Genomic DNA, 16,992 nt, shown 5'->3' on the forward strand with positions numbered 1-16,992 from the left:
ATTTGACTTTTCAAGGCTCACATCCCAGCGGCCGCTTCTACTCTCCTGGGTGCTTATGCCTATAATTTAGATTAGCTGCCCCAGCAGAATCAATGTTGTCTGGGTGATGAACTTATGGTTGGATTAGCCAATCTTCCTATAAAGCCTCCATAGCTGGATCCACTATCAGCATAACTAATATTTGTTATCCATTTAGTGTACAACATTGAACTTGAAACAGCCAAGGGTAAATAGTAACTAAAGTTAACATGCCATTATACATGCAATTTACAACTTAGAGGAGTACTTAAAGAAATACAAGGAAAAGCTTTCCCTCTGCCAACATGGCGGCCTCAGCAAAAAAGAAGAATAAGAAGGGGAAGACTATCTCCCTAACAGACTTTCTGGCTGAGGATGGGGGTACTGGTGGAGGAAGCACCTATGTTTCCAAACCAGTCAGCTGGGCTGATGAAACGGATGACCTGGAAGGAGATGTTTCTACAACTTGGCACAGTAACGATGACGATGTGTACAGGGCGCCTCCAATTGACCGTTCCATCCTTCCCACTGCTCCACGGGCTGCTCGGGAACCCAATATCGACCGGAGCCGTCTTCCCAAATCGCCACCCTACACTGCTTTTCTAGGAAACCTACCCTATGATGTTACAGAAGAGTCAATTAAGGAATTCTTTCGAGGATTAAATATCAGTGCAGTGCGTTTACCACGTGAACCCAGCAATCCAGAGAGGCTGAAAGGTTTTGGTTATGCTGAATTTGAGGACCTGGATTCCCTGCTCAGTGCCCTGAGTCTCAATGAAGAGTCTCTAAGTAACAGGAGAATTCGAGTGGACGTTGCTGATCAAGCACTGGATAAAGACAGGGATGATCCTCCTTTTGGCCGTGATAGAAATCGGGATTCTGACAAAACAGATACAGACTGGAGGGCTCGTCCTGCTACAGACACCTTTGATGACTACCCACCTAGAAGAGGTGATGATAGCTTTGGAGACAAGTATCGAGATCGTTATGATTCAGACCGGTATCGGGATGGGTATCGGGATGGCCCACGCCGGGATATGGATCGATATGGTGGCCGGGATCGCTATGATGACCGAGGCAGCAGAGACTATGATAGAGGCTATGATTCCCGGATAGGCAGTGGCAGAAGAGCATTTGGCAGTGGGTATCGCAGGGATGATGACTACAGAGAAGGCAGGGACTGCTATGAAGACCAATATGACAGACGGGATGATCGGTCGTGGAGCTCCAGAGATGATTACTCTCGGGATGATTATAGGCGTGATGATAGAGGTCCCCCCCCCCCCAAAGACCCAAACTGAATCTAAAGCCTCGGAGTACTCCTAAGGAAGATGATTCCTCTGCTAGTAACTCCCAGTCCACTCGAGCTGCTTCTATCTTTGGAGGGGCAAAGCCTGTTGACACAGCTGCTAGAGAAAGAGAAGTAGAAGAACGGCTACGAAGGAACAAGAGAAGTTGCAGCGTCAGCTGGATGGGCCAAAACTAGAACGACGGCCTCGGGAGAGACACCCAAGCTGGCAAAGTGAAGAAACTCAGGAACGGGAACGGTCGAGGACAGGAAGTGAGTCATCACAGACTGGGACCTCCACCACATCTGGCAGAAATGCATGAAGGAGAGAGAGTGAGAAGTCTCTAGAAAATGAAACACTCAATAAGGAGGAAGATTGCCACTCTCCAACTTCTAAACCTCCCAAACCTGATCAGCCCCTAAAGGTAATGCCAGCCCCTCCACCAAAGGAGAATGCTTGGGTGAAGCGAAGTTCTAACCCTCCTGCTCGATCTCAGAGCTCAGACACAGAGCAGCAATCCCCTACAAGTGGTGGGGGAAAAGTAGCTCCAGCTCAACCATCTGAGGAAGGACCAGGAAGGAAAGATGAAAATAAAGTAGATGGGATGAATGTCCCAAAAGGCCAAACTGGGAACTCTAGCCGTGGTCCAGGAGACTGAGGGAACAGAGACCACTGGAAGGAGTCAGATAGGAAAGATGGCAAAAAGGATCAAGACTCCAGATCTGCACCTGAGCCAAAGAAACCTGAGGAAAATCCAGCTTCCAAGTTCAGTTCTGCAAGCAAGTATGCTGCTCTCTCTGTTGATGGTGAAGATGAAAATGAGGGAGAAGATTATGCCAAATAGACCTCTACATCCTGTGCTTTTCTCCTAGTTTCTCTCCACCCTGGAACATTCGAGAGCAAATCAAAACCTCTATCCAGACAAGACAAAATAAAACTCACCATCTCCTGAAGACCTTTCTTACCTTTTTTTTAAAACAAAAAATGAAATTATTTTGCATGCTGCTGCAGCCTTTAAAGTATTGAAGTAACTGGAGAATTGCCAATACAGCCAGAGAGAAAGGGACTACAGCTTTTTAGAGAAGTTGTGGTGCGTTATGTCACCATGCAGTTGCCAGTGTGATTAGTGCCTAGGGGTCTCCATTTAGCAGAAATGGTAATGACAGTGATATAACGCCTGGAACCTGGTTGGGCAGTAGGGGAGGGAGGTAGAAGGAAAAGTGTGAGATTTCTACCTTTTAGTTTTTTTCCTATTGTGGCATATATGAATTCTCAAACATTATCTGAATAAATTTTCCATTCTTGGAAAGGTAGATTTAGCCTCAAGTTGTTTTAGTCTCCAGGAGGCTGCCAGCCCCTCCTCTTATTTAATTCTGAGTTTTGGGGGACAGCCTAGAGGGAATTCCTTTTTTTTTTTTTTTTTACCCCCAAGGGGGTTAGTTGGGAGTGAGACTATAGGCCATAAAGAATGGGACTCATTGGACCAAAATAAATGGGAAAATCGTGGTTTGAAAGGAAGCTTTTGGGAATTGATGAGTCATTTTGCACCAGGTAATAGGGGAAAATTGTGTGACCTCCAGCAAACACATGAATGGTTATTTCCTGGAGCCGGAAGCACTTGGGGGTCGTGGTAATTCCCAATGTTTTCTGTGTCCTAGTTTTACCCTTTCTAAACACTGTCCTTTTTGAAAGTTTGAATATATCCACATTCTATTGAAACCTTGAAACTAAAAATTTAGACTCTTATCGTCATCTTAAGTTCTTCATGCTACTCTTAACCTCCCAAAAAGCAGTATCTAAGTCACATACATGATGTCTTGGGCATTTTCTCTCTCAGCCATGGAGAACTCTGAAAGGAAGAATCGCTGCTTTTCTCAAGCAAATCGGTTTCTTGATATCTTCTGGTTCTCACTCCTTGCCTGCTCCTGATGCTTTGACCCCTTTTATTGATCAGAGTGCTCTAGAATAATGGATGGTCTTGGATGGTGGATAAATAGGGACAGGGACAGTTAAATTGGGAGCCTTTCTTACAACCTTGATGGGTTTTTTTCCCCCCAAGTTTCCTTCTCCACTGAAATGCCACACTAATGTTTGTTGGATTCATGAGGTGGCCAGACCAATGTGTTTTGTTTTGTTTTTTTTTTTTTAAGCTTCCCTTGAGAGAATAAACGGAAATGGAGAGAACTATTTAACAAGGTCCTGGTTTCTCTTGCAACACAGTAGCTAAACTTGCCTGCCTTTATATGCATTTTTGTAGGGATCAGCTTGGTAGACAGTATTAGCAGAGAAACACCTTGATCTTGGTTTGCAAACCCTTCTGCCATCAGTCCTAGATTAGGCCCTGTTCAGCCATGCAGGGGTGTTGGTTTATGCGTGCTGCAGCAGTGGGCATAATGAATATAATTTACCCAGTGGACAAAGGTGTGTACCAAGTGAATTTAAATAATTGGTGTGGATTGGCCAGTAGCTAAGAAGTGGGCTTTTAAAGAGTATTGAAGATTGAAAGGTGTTTTTTTTCTTTTTTAAAAAAGAAAAAAAAACTATTGATTGTAGATAATGAAAAGCTAGGGTTTGCCCTCTTCATGTCTACTCTCCTTCCAAATAGTTATATCCAAAACTGTTTTTCCCTGTCCCCTACCTTGTCCCCCCCATTAAAATAGAAACAGGGATTGATTAATGTCCCGCTCCTGAATACATGTAAAATTTGTACAAAAATATCTTCTATGAAAATGATTTGTAATCTGTAGACTTATTACCTGGGAGATGTCTTGATGTAAAATCCCATCCTTTGGGTTGTGGGTTTTTTGTTTTCTCCAAATAAATCTGATCTTTAAAGTTCAAAAAAAAAAAAAAAGAAAGAAATACAAGGAAAAAATACAGACTTTTCCACTATAAGATCATATAGTGATATCACATTCTGGCTCCAATACTAACTATTTGTGTGAACTTGGACAAATTATTTAACCCCTTTCAGCCTCAATTTTCTCATCTGTAAAAAAATAAATAATAATCCCTATTTATTCAGGACCTTCTAGGCGCTGAGTATTGAAACAGTTACTTTCCATTCATTATTTGATATATTCCTAACAACCCAGCAAGGTATTACTCTACCCATTTTATAATTTAGTTGGAAAATTGGAGTTTGAATTTCTCTTACTCTGCTAATATCAATGTCCCTATTTCTTTTGAAAGAATTATTCTTTCCTTCCATTACTTCTATAGATTATGATGAGAGTACTAAAGAGCTGTGGATGCAAGCAAGTAGGAGAAGGTTTATTCTTTTGAATACCTTTTCTTTTTTCCTTCTTCAAAACTTTAACTTCCAAGTGTGTGTGTGTGTGTGTGTGTGTGTGTGTTTGCAATGGTTGCTTATGTAAATTTTCTGTGTAGTAGGGTGTATGCAGGGCTGACATTCAGCCAACCAGTAAGACACAGGATGAGCCAAACTAGTGGGTCAGTGGCTTGGTTTTTCCTGGCTGCATCCCTTTTGACTCATCAGTACCGTGCTTACTGAGATGTGAAATATTTTTAATATCAACCCAGGATAAATTATAGGGGTTCACACACCCCCTTTCTCCTCATTACACTACCACCTGGTTTTATAGTCTTTCTGATGGTAGGTTTCCCCTTTTGGGAACTTCTTGAGGTCAGAGTCTATATCCTAGTTCATCTTGGTGTTCTCAGTTCCTCGCACAGTGAATGTATTGAATAAATGCTGGAATGAATGCGTAAGTGAGTAAGGAGTGAATTATATGAAACCAAGCATGAGATAAATGAATAATCTCAGCGGCTAAAAAGTGGCAAAGCCAGCCCTGACTCCTTTCCTGTGTCTTATACAGTCGATGAGGGAATTAGCATCATAAGATCATGGATATGCCCAACACTTAGCGGGGACTGACATGTGTGTTTCTTCTCCTTCTCTATCCGAGTATAATGAGGTATCTCAGCCCTGAACCTTTATTTTTGAATCACAACTTAATCTAGCCTTGGCATTTGTGGACTCAGGAGTTCACCTTCCCAGTTCATCCTGAACCCTTGTAGAGTTCCTGCTGTTTTCCTTCACCTGCATCTACCTTCCACCCCCGCCATTTTGGTCGATCCCCAGGAATGGCTTCATGTTGCTGCCATGCTCTTGAAAGCAAATGAATGCTCGGGGTTTCTGCTTTTTTTTTTCTCCACTCAATCACTAAAGGAAAAATATGTGGTCATTTCTCAGATGACTCTCTCAATACTGGTTTTTCTTTCTAATCTGAATGAAATAATGCCCCCCCTTTTCACTTACCCTTTAATGTTTATCCTTTGCAGCTATAGCTCACTTACTGGTTAATTTACATTTATGTACAAATCCCATTATGACATCCAGCAGACCCCTGCAGGGTTACAGCCTCCTCCTTCATGTAGGCTTTATAGTTTTTAATGGCTTGGAATGACTTGAAATCCAAACTAAATCAGAATTTGATTTTTTAAAACACTCATGCAAAGTACGAAAAGAGTTTATACACAGGTACAGGGTAACTGAGCCACATAGAGTATGAAGTTCTTGGGAAACACTAATCGTTTTGTTGGTTTGCCTTACAAAGTTCCAAAAATAGACTATTAAATACTAAATAGTTCGCTTTTATCTATACTGTATGTTCTCGTCTAACACTTTTTGGAAGATCACTGATTTTATCTAATCTTATCATTATAATGGCTAGTGCATGATCAGAGATCTTGGTATTCAAAGGCAACACGAAGGAAACTTCTGGCTGGTAGTTACTGTCTTTGCACTTTTTGCATGGACTACATGAAATCTGACCTCAAATGGAGCCAAATGTGATGCTTTCTGATATTGTCCAAAAGCAGTGTGCATTAGACTGGGGATGGGGAAGCTTTGTTTCTCTTTGGGCAAATAGGCATGCAAGTATGGAACAATGAGACATCAGTTCAGAAGAGAGTTTGATGAAGGGCAAATTTGCCTGCTAGAGACTGTGAGTTTAGAAACATTGCCCATGGGATCTGATGGGTTGAAGTCAGAGCATCCTCAATTAGTGGCAAGAGCTCAGAACTGAATTAGAACAATAAAGACAGATATTTCTGTTTTGAAGTTAGAGTCTTAGTTAAACCTTAGAACAAGATAAAAGCACCTTTAACCACTCTGTTGGAAATGTATCTATGTGATTCTTAATGCTCATCTGCATAGTTCATCAAATGATACTGCTTGACCCATTTAAGAAGGGAAGAAACTGGGTGCTGGAAAGAATGTTCAGACCCTTGGTGAAAAGAGACCAACTGGACATGTTCAGTTCTTTTTCCAAGACTTTTCCAGGATCAGCTGAGAGGCAGGCAAGCCCCAGTAGCAAAGATTTGCTGCATGATTTTTTTTTTTTTTTTGCTTTGTGCATGATTAGGAAAAACTCAGAATACATGTTCTTCATAATTTCAGTACAAGCCATGTGCTCTAGACACTGATTTCTTCATCCTCCTCTGGTCAGTTCTCACATACCACACAGTCTTACTGTCAATCACACCATATAGCAAAAGAGATCCCAAGTGGATTTAAAAGTAAAAAAAAAATCTTAAAAACATTCTACAATATATTTGACCATTTGATTAAATTTGAAGTGGGAAAGGGACTTCCTGTTTTTCTTTTTCTTTTTCTTTTTTTTTTTTTTTTTGACGGATTTTCGCTCTGTTGCCAGGCTGGAGTGCAGTGGCGCAATCTTGGCTCACTGCAACCTCCGCCTCCTGGGTTCAAGCGATTCTCCTGCCTCAGCCTCCCAAGTAGCTGGGATTAGAGGTGCCTGCCACCAAGCCCAGGTTATTTTTGTGTTTTTAGTAGAGATGGAGTTTCACCATGTTGGCCAGGATGGTCTCGATCTCCTGACCTCGTGATCCACCTGCCTCGGCCTCCCAAAGTGCTGGGATTACAGGCGTGAGCCACTGCACCCACTCGGGAAAGGGACTTTCTAAGGCATAAAAGTTATGGAATAAACTATGGGAGAAAAAAGATTGACATACTTTATATGAAACTGTAGTATTTCTATACTTCAGGGAACATCATAATACAATTTTAATGCAAACCAAAATTAGAAGAAAATATTTCCAACAAAGAGTAAACATATCCAAAATATAAATCATGCATAAATCAATAAGAGAAACACTAAAAACTCAAGAGCAAAAGATATAGAAGATCTGAGAAATTCACAAGAAAAGAAATACAGAAGTATTCATTCAACTATGCTGTAGGGTACTATTCTAGGTAGTGAAATATGGAGGTAGAGACTGAGTTCTTACCTTCATGGAGAAAACGTTTTGATGCGAAAAACTAGACAATAAGCAAATTCTTAAAGTAAGTAAATGTATGTGTCAGGTGGCGATAAATACTTTGGAGAAAAATAAAGCAGAGTGGGAAGGAATCTCCATGGTGGGAGGCAGTATACTTCTAAGAAGGTAACATCTGAGCAGAGGGAAGAGGTGGTACTCACCAAGGAGACATCTAAGAGAAGTGTTTTCTAAAAGAAGAAACAGCAGGTGCAAATGCCTTTAGGCAGAGAGTACTGAGTGTCTGCAAAATAGGAGCCACCAGAGAGGCTGGAGCAGAGTGGGCAGAGGGGAGAGTAGTGGCAGTGAGGTCAGAAAAGCAGCAGGTGGGAGCAGCTCATGCAGGACTTCCTTTGGCCTTCGCTCTACTCCTTCCCTGCCACTCCTTTGGACTTGCTCCAAGTAAGAAGTCAAGCCCCTGAAAGTCTTGAGGAGAAGAGTGGAATAATGTGGCTTAATACGTAAAAGGATCATCATTCTGCTTGCTATGTGGAAAAGGGGTGCAGGGAACAAAGGCTAAAAGCAGATAAAGCAATTAGGAGTCAGTTGCAACAATCCAGGTGGGATATCATAGCAACTTCCATTAGGGTGATAACAGAGGAGGTAAAGAGAAATAATCACATTTTGAGTTGATTTTGAAGGCAGAGTAAACAGGTATTGCTGAAGAATCAAATGTGGGGCACGAGACAGACACCTGGGTTTTTCTCAAATGACACCTGGGTTTTTTGACCTGAGAAGCTAGAAAGACGGATCAATTATTTTCAGGATGGAAGACTGTGAGAACAACTGGTTTGGGAGGAAAATCAGGACTTCCCTTTTAGATATATTACATTTGAGTTGTCCCTCCAAAACTGCTGGATGCAAGCATTTAGAGATGAGGGCAAAGGGCAGATCTACAGATAGACATCAGGAAGCCCTCAGCATAGGGATGTTTTTTAAAGCCTGGGACCAGATGAGATGATCTTTGGCTAGGTGTTAAATTGGTAGAGAAAAATTGTCAGAGGCTGAGCCTGGGGCTCTCCAACCTTTAGAGTCCAATTAATGAGGAGGAGCAGCAAAGAAGACTGAGAAGTATAGAAGAGTAATTTATGTAGTCAGATATGTCACATTTTTGCTTCATGATTTGCTCCATTGCTTTTATGCTCACCTAGCTATTGATGCTTATAAAATATTCTCCATTTCTAAGGACACTGCATATTAAATCTAAAGGCAAAACCAAGATCAGGTTTAAACAGAGGACTAATATCCCTGGCATAGAAATAACTTAAAAATCTTTAACAGTAACACTAACACATCAATAGAGGCCTATACATATGAACAAGTATGAAGTCAGGAAATTGTAAGCTCTATGTTTATCATCTTTTTACTTTAAAAAAAATTCATCTTTGACTTCCAAAGGAGTAAAACACATAATTTCTTAAGCATACAATCAGATGTAAAAGCAAAGATATAATGAAAAGTCTCATCCATAAACTTCCCATGTGATGTGTTTATGATGCATGTATTCTTTTTTGGTAGATAATATTTTATCAGGCATACCTGGTCTTTTTCAGAATCATCTGACAAGCATATTGGACGATGCAAACCATCTTAGAAATAGCACTGGTAAATACTTAGAAATGTTTAGCCTCAGTCATAAATAAATAACATCAAAATGGCAAATAATGCGATTTTTAAATTCCAGAGTTGACTAGGAGATGTAAAAATGGTCTTTCTGAAACAATGCTGGTAAGTTTGTAAAGTGGTACACATTTTCTGGAGGACAGTGTGTCCTATTTGTATCAAAAGCCTGAAAACTGGCTCACTCTGACTCAGCAGTCAAATTCTGCTTTGATTGGAAATTCTGATTCTAGAGGTGTAATCAAAGGAAACAGTCATTGGTGAGGGCAGATTCAACTACAAAGATGTTTACAAACATCCACGTATGAGGTGGTAAAAAGCTGGGAACAACATAAACAATACAGAATTGGCTAAACAAACTATAGCATGTCCATATGATAGAATAACATGCAGCAATTAAAAACAATGTCATATAAGTAATAACAGAAAAATAACCTCAGCCAGACACACTGGCTCATGCCTGTAATCTCAGCACTTTGGGAGGCCAAGACAGGAGGATATTTTGAGGCCAGGAGTTCAAGACCAGCCTGGGCAACACAGTGAGATCTACATCTCTACAAAATATTTTAAAATTAGCTGGGTGTGGTGGCATGTGCCTACAGCCCCAACACATTTGGAGGCTGAGGTAGGAGGATCATTTGAGCCTCGGAGTTCAAGGCTACAGCAGGCTATGATCATACCACTGTACTCCAGCAGGACCCAGTCTTCTTAAAAAAAAAAAAAGGAAGAAAAAGAAAAATGATCCCTATATAGTGAAACTATATGGGCTATTTCTGTTTGCATATGCCTAGAAAATAGACTGGAAGGAAATCAACCAATATGTTATGTTCATCTCTGGGTAGTCACAGATGAATTATTTTAATTCTATTGGATTTACCTGTTCCAAATTTTCTACCACATGTTTTTTAATTACATTGGCATGTGGAGCAATTACAGAAGAAGAAGCTAGGAATTTTCCACAAAGGTAACACAGAAGCAACATTCTAGGGCAGTCCTGTCCGCTGGAACTTTCTGCAATGATGGAAGTGTTCCGTATCTATGCTGTCCAGTTCAGTAGCCACATGTGGCTATCAAACACTTGCAACATAGTTAGTACAACTGAGGAACTGATATTTTTAATGAGTAAGCACAAAAATTTCCTTTATCTTTGCAGATTAGCACGTGTCCCCATGACTGTTCATAAAAGAAATTTAATAAACACTGTTCCTCCTACATGGGGAAACTGAGTTTTAATTTTCATTGAGTTAAATTTACGGAACCACGTGCAGAAATGGCTACTGTGTTGGACAGTGCAGTCTGTGGCAGATAGGCCTGGAACATAGAGGAAGAGTCACCAGACCTTGTTTGATGCAAGAACTCTGGATTACACAAGATCTGAGACAATCAGCCCCACTGAATTTAGGATCCTCAGCATTTTCCTAGGAGTTTATTTCCAAACTTCAGCGCGAGAATTCATACATGCATATAATTTAGGTGTATTACAGTAGATTAACTGTAAGATAAACTGTGTCAAGTTCTCATTTCATAGTGTAGGGTTTTTTTCTCAATTTATATATTTGGTTGTTGTTATAAAGTGTATAATTGAAGAACTTTTCTGAGCCCTGGTAAAGAGAGAATTCTGGGCAGGTTTAATGCTAGTCTGTATTACAGGCAAGACTCTGACGCCCAGAGTAAACAGCACCCCTTACCAAACGTTGCTTTTTAAGTAACTTTATTTCTGTCTGCATTTGTTGAACATTAGCATTACATATTTCAAAAACAACCCCAAGGTGACCACTTAAAAGGAAGAGGGAAAAAATCCTCCTCTTTTCTGGTACCTCGTTTTGTGGCTGATGTTTTAAAAGCTATTTTTTTTCCTGGCCAAACTTGGTGTGTTTAAAAGCTTCAAAAAGAACCTACTACTTTTTCTTTACTATAAGAAAAGACACAATTCTTAATTCTTTTTAACCAGGATTATTAATTTTATAGCACTTAAGGTAATGTAACTGTTATACTCTGATGGCAGAATAATGTTTTTAAAATAATGAAATAATGGCAGAAGTATTTAGATATAATTGTATAGCCATAATAAAAAATTAGCCATAATAAAAAATTTCAATTAAGCTTTCATTACATTGCAATTAACTCTGCATTTGAACACTAACATTAGTGTGGCCATAGGTTTTATTTGTTTCTTGCTTTTTAAAAACAACATGAAATTCTTTTTCATTTTGTTCACATTCATCTAAGAAGGTTCCTGGAAAATGAAATTAAAATCTAAATAAGTTTTCTAAAACTTGTGAGCAGAAAGTAAAAAAGAATATCTTTCAAATTATTATACCTCTTAATTGTGCATTTTATTAGTTATTTATTGTTACGTGACAAATTAATCCAAAACTTCGCAACTTAAAACATTAGTCACATAATTTCTAAAGGTGAGGAATGCTGGAGCAACTTAGCTGGTAGTTCTAGCTCAAGGTCTCTCATGAGATTGCAGTCAAGCTGCTGGCCAGGGCTGCAGTCATCTGAGCCTGTAAGTGGAGAATCCACTTCCAATATGGCTGTCGGCAAGAAGCCTCAGCTCCTTACTGGTTGTTGACAGAAACTGAGACCTCAACTTGTGGCTCTCTCCACATGGCTGCTTGGCTGCCTACATAGCAGTTGGGTTCCCCCAGTATTCATAATCCAAAAGAGAAAGTCTGAAGCTGCAATGTCTTTTATGACTCAATCTTGTCATAAAACACCCATACTTCCACCTTGTTCTGTTTATTAGAAGACAGTCACCAAGTCCAGCTCATATTCAAGAGGTAGGGAGTTAGGCTCTGCCTCTCAAAGGCTGTATCAAGGAATGTGTGCACATACTTTGTACCAAAACATGTGTGGAACGCTTTCAGTTGTTAACTGGCTTGATTGGTCAATGTTTATTTCATTACACTGTAGCCAAATGAAAGAAGGCAAAGCCACAGTTAGAACCTGAATAGAACTTACATTCTGAGATTTGAAGCCAAATGACAGATTTTAGACATACTTTTTCCCCTCTTGGAGTTTTGTTAGACCATAATTGTAATTTTGTACCTGACACTTTTTTGCCACTGAGAATATACCTTTGTGAGATCAAAAGTCAAAAAATGCATGCTACCCTCTGTTTTCCAAGATTTCTACAAGGCTCATTGTAAAATAAGATATCAAAGAAAACTCAGGTGGTCTCTTCACTCTGAAGGGAAGAGAGCGACACGCATAATAGTGGGTGCTCTGCATTCATTCTATTTGAAATAACTCCTTGCCCCTCTGCTTTTCCCTAACTACATTCTCTCCCTGAGTGATCTCATGCAATTCAACAAGGTTCAAATTTTTATCTCTCACTGAGGCCTCTCCCTGATATTCAGACTTGTATATCTAGCAACCTGCTCAACATCTGCACTGAGCTGATTAATCAGCTTCTCAAACCTAACATGTTCAAAGCAGACTCTTCTTCAGAGTCGCAGAGAGGAAGGAACGCAATGAGCTGAACGTGAAGGACAGTTAGCGCCAGCTGCTCACCCGAAGATGGCTGTGTTTCTGTCCATGTGGTGATGTGGCCACTCAATCAGCCTGCCTCCCCTCCTCAGCAGGGAACCTCCCTATGCTGAAAAGATGGGAGAAATTGTATCCCACTCCTTTGGCAGCAAGAGTAATTTCCTGATTGGCCTCCAAACTGAAAACACATTTTCTCTACTTGGATGTCACGGTGCTCCCTGTAACGGGCTTTGTCAGCCCTCTAGGCTGCAGGAAAAGTGCCAGCACAGGGGATTCATTATTTATGCCCAGGATTGTATGAGTGACATGAGCAAGTGCTCTGATGGTGTGATTTGGGGGTAACTTTTACCGCCCAAAATATCTCCCTATCAAGCCCTACCATTTCCTCGTTCTCATCATACCCATTATCCCTCAAGGGCCATAGAAACACCTCCCCTTGTAGGACCTAACACTTCTCAGTTCTTCCCAGGGAAGCAGATCCTGAAAGCCTTTTGGAGGTTTTGTGTCATGGTTATACAGGAAAGAGTATTTAGATTACAAAGTTACACATTGGCAGGGTCAATTTAATATGAGATGCTGCCATCTCTAAGAGATCATTGCTTGAAAGAACCAGGACAAAACAAACAAACAAACATGATGGGGGTAAAAGAAGAAGAAAAGAAGGGAGGCATGGGGTTGCCTAGACAGGGGAATCCTACTTAAGGATAAAAACACTGGAAAGGAAACATCTAAAGGAGGAAAATTTAGCCTGGTGTGAAATGTTTATTAAACAACCGAGCTACTGATTACAGAACTACAGTATCCATCAAACCTAAAACAGCTTAAATTTATAAAATATTCCTATTTCATATAGAGAAGTAAATATATATTTGAACAGATTGTGTTAAATGAGATATAGCCTTTTTCCTTGTGTGTTACTATTTTACTTATTAAGCACTTATTAAGTATAAGGGATTGTGCTACGTGCTTAACATACCTTTTGGTTTTTTGTCTTTCTTTTCTTCTTTTTTTTTTTTTTTTTGTTAGGGAAGGATGGGATCTGCCCTGTTTACTCTCTATCTCCCCTTGTAAAATGTAAGGCACATGAGGACAGGGATTTTATCTGACTTATTTACTGCTGTATCCTTAGGCAACCTCTAGAATAATCCTTGGCACTAGTCATGTGTTCAAAAATTATTTATTGAAGGGAAGGGGCTAGGCATGGTGGCTCACGCCTGTAATCCCAGCACTTTGGGAGGCCAAGGCAGGTAGATCACAAGGTCAGAAGATCAAGACCATCCTGGCCAACATGATGAAACCCCGTCTCTACTAAAAATACAAAATTAGCCGGGTGTGGTGGTGGGTGCCTGTAATCCCAGCTACTCAGGAGGCTGAGGCAGGAGAATCACTTGAACCTGGGAGGCAGAGGTTGCAGTGAGCCGAGATTGTGCCACTGCAGCCCAGCCTGGGTGACAGAGCGAGACTAAGGCTCAAAAAAAAAAGGAAGGGAGGGAGGAAGAAAGGAAGGGTACATTATCAAATTTAATCCCCCAGGGCCTTATTACCCCTGTTTTACAAAGAAGGGTATTGAGACTTAGAGAGTTTAACTTGCCTAAATCACATAGGTAGCAAAGGACTTTGTTCCCACAAGTATTCTTTCAACAAATATCATCCTCCGAACCTTAAAGGGACAACACTAGGGTACACATAGGCCAGATCCTAGACAGGCAGTACTGGTTTACATTCTCATATATGTCCATGTGACTTGTGCATAATACTCAAATATCTCAAGCCAGATTCTGCCATCAGCATATTGCAAAAGATTTGGAGATACTGTGTACAAATAACCGAACCATAGCGCATAGATGATAATAATTACATCTCTTCAAGAGAGATTTGTAGATTAACAAATTAATACTTACAAAAAAAGCCTTGAAAATATTATGAACTACATAATTACCAAGCATTGTTATTACCAGCGTAACTAGTTATGGAAAATACTTCATGTAAGCATCCTGGGAGGGCTAATGTTTTACATATCCCTTTTTCAAACTCATTTTGCTTCATTTTCAATAGTCAAAAAAAAGTAGAAAGTGACTCCCATGTCCACACCCATTTTGTACAAGCTGTGAGCCTTTGGACAAAAGACCGTCCCTCTGTAAGCCCTTGTTCCTCAAGGTGTCATCCCAGGTTTCACATGGGAGCTTGTGAGAAACGCAGAATCTCAGGCCCCACCCCAGACCCACTGAACCGGAATCTGCATTTTAAGATCCCCAGGTGACTCATAGACACGTTAAATTTTGAAAAGCATAGTTATTAGCCTCACTTAACCTCAAATGGGAAAATGTGAGAACCTAAGTGCCCAACATAGTGCCTGACAGCACTCAATGAAATGCTGTTCCTTACTCCTTTCCCCAACTCCTACAATAATGGTAAACTTGAAACCTCTGGCGACTGGTGCTGAAAGGCCAAGGTGTGAGGCTGGCTTCAGAGGGTCCTGGAATGGGACTGTGCCAGCTGGAAAAACAAGTTTTTTGGATAAATGGGGCCCCTTCCCCTGCTCTAATGTGTATTTGCAAGTTTATTTTTATCCTCTCAACTGCTGAGACACTGTTAGGATTTGATCGTGTCATGTGTGTTCACATTAATTTTAATATGCAACCATTTGAATTCAAGCCCATATTTAATTCAGGGGGAATCATTTTCTTTTTATGGTGTTTATTTATATATGACTATAAAAGCAATACATGCTTGCTGTAGACAAGTTAGAAAACACAAACTGCCACTGCTAGCTTTTAGGTATTTCTTTTCAGTTGTATTTCAAGCAAAAGTAGAATTACACTGGTGAATTGTTTTTTAATTACTATTTTTTTTCCTTGAGATGAAGTCTTGTTCTGTTGCCCAGGCTGGAGTTCAGTGCCGTGATCTCGGCTCACTGCAACCTCCACCTCCCGGGTTCAAGCAATTCACCTGCCTCAGCCTCCGGAGTAGCTGGGATTACAGGCATGTGCCACCACACTCAGCTGATTTTTGTATTTTTAGTAGAGACGAGGTTTCACCATGTTGGCCAGACTGGTCTCAAATTCCTGACCTCAGGTGATCCACTCGTCTCAGCCTCACAAAGTGCTGGGAATACAGGCGTGAGCCACCGCACCCGGCCACTGGTGAATCTTGTAACCTGTTGGTTTTTTTGTTTGTTTGTTTTTGTTTTTACTTGTCTGAACACTTGCCCACATTGTGTAATGTGAAGATAATTTGATGGATCTCTATTACTCCTATTTTGTGACTCTATCATAATTTAACCACCCCTAACTGAAAAGACATACAGTTTCTAATGTTGTTGACTATTCAAATCATGTAGTGATGAACATTCTTCCTTGTAAGTCTTTTGCCATGGTTGGTGATTTCTTAGTATTGATTCCCCCCAAAATAAATCACTAGGTCAAAGGATATTTAATACTCTTCTCTGATACATAAAGTCAGCTTCCAGGAAGTGGGTTCCAGGAGGAGTGTGTGTTTTCTAAGTTTCTACTAACTGATAGGCAGTATAATGATGGCTCCTTATTTAATTTGCATTCTTTCATTTTTAGTGAACATCAATAGTATCACCAATTTACAAAAATAAAAACAACAATCAAAATTCGACATTCCTATAATTTGATTTGGTCAGAATTGACATTTGTACAATATTTAATCTTATTTGCTAAGAATTTGACATTTCTTTCCATTTATTCAAATTAAACCCTTCCTCAATTTTGGGGAGTTGGTTTGGGTATATGTTGCCATTATCAATTGAGAACCAGTTCTCTCACGATATTTGTGAAAAGGCATATCTGTATTTAGGGGTAAAATTGAATTCTCCTTTCTTCATGTTATTATAAGAAAATATCAGGATTACTTTTAAAAATTAGTTTCTGGAACATACATTAGTGCTAAGCTTGTTAATTTATAACTCTGGGTTTAAGTTTTGCTTTCCATCAATTTCTTTTCATTTCTCTTATTGTTAGATTAGTTCAGGGATTTTCAAAGTCTGGTCCCTAAAGCCTCATCTCCTAAGGAAGCTTCTCAGGTGAGGATGAGGAGGGAGGATTATGGGTGCCCCAACCCCTGGCCCAACCACCACCTCCAATGTCCTAATCAACAATCTTAATTCAGCTTCTTATTATCTGTTTTGTCATCTGAGCCTTCTCCAAGGAGTCAGTAAACTTTCTCCGTAAAGGGCCAGATAGTAAATATTTTAGGCTTTACAGGCACTACTGGTAGATGACTGTTGCAACTGCTCAATTCT

The 16,992-nt window shown here is 40.1% G+C and overlaps 1 protein-coding gene and 1 pseudogene across 2 annotated transcripts in view; both read left to right on the forward strand.

Annotated features, from left to right (window-relative positions):
* The window catches only part of LHFPL3 (LHFPL tetraspan subfamily member 3), a 579,959-nt gene that overhangs the window by 338,823 nt on the left and 224,144 nt on the right, over nucleotides 1-16,992 (forward strand). The gene's annotated exons all lie outside the window — the stretch shown is intronic.
* Nucleotides 308-4,147, forward strand: EIF4BP6 (eukaryotic translation initiation factor 4B pseudogene 6; annotated as a pseudogene).

The sequence above is a fragment of the Homo sapiens genome, chromosome 7 (genome assembly GCF_000001405.40).
Source record: "Homo sapiens chromosome 7, GRCh38.p14 Primary Assembly".
NCBI classification, from domain to species: domain Eukaryota; kingdom Metazoa; phylum Chordata; class Mammalia; order Primates; family Hominidae; genus Homo; species Homo sapiens.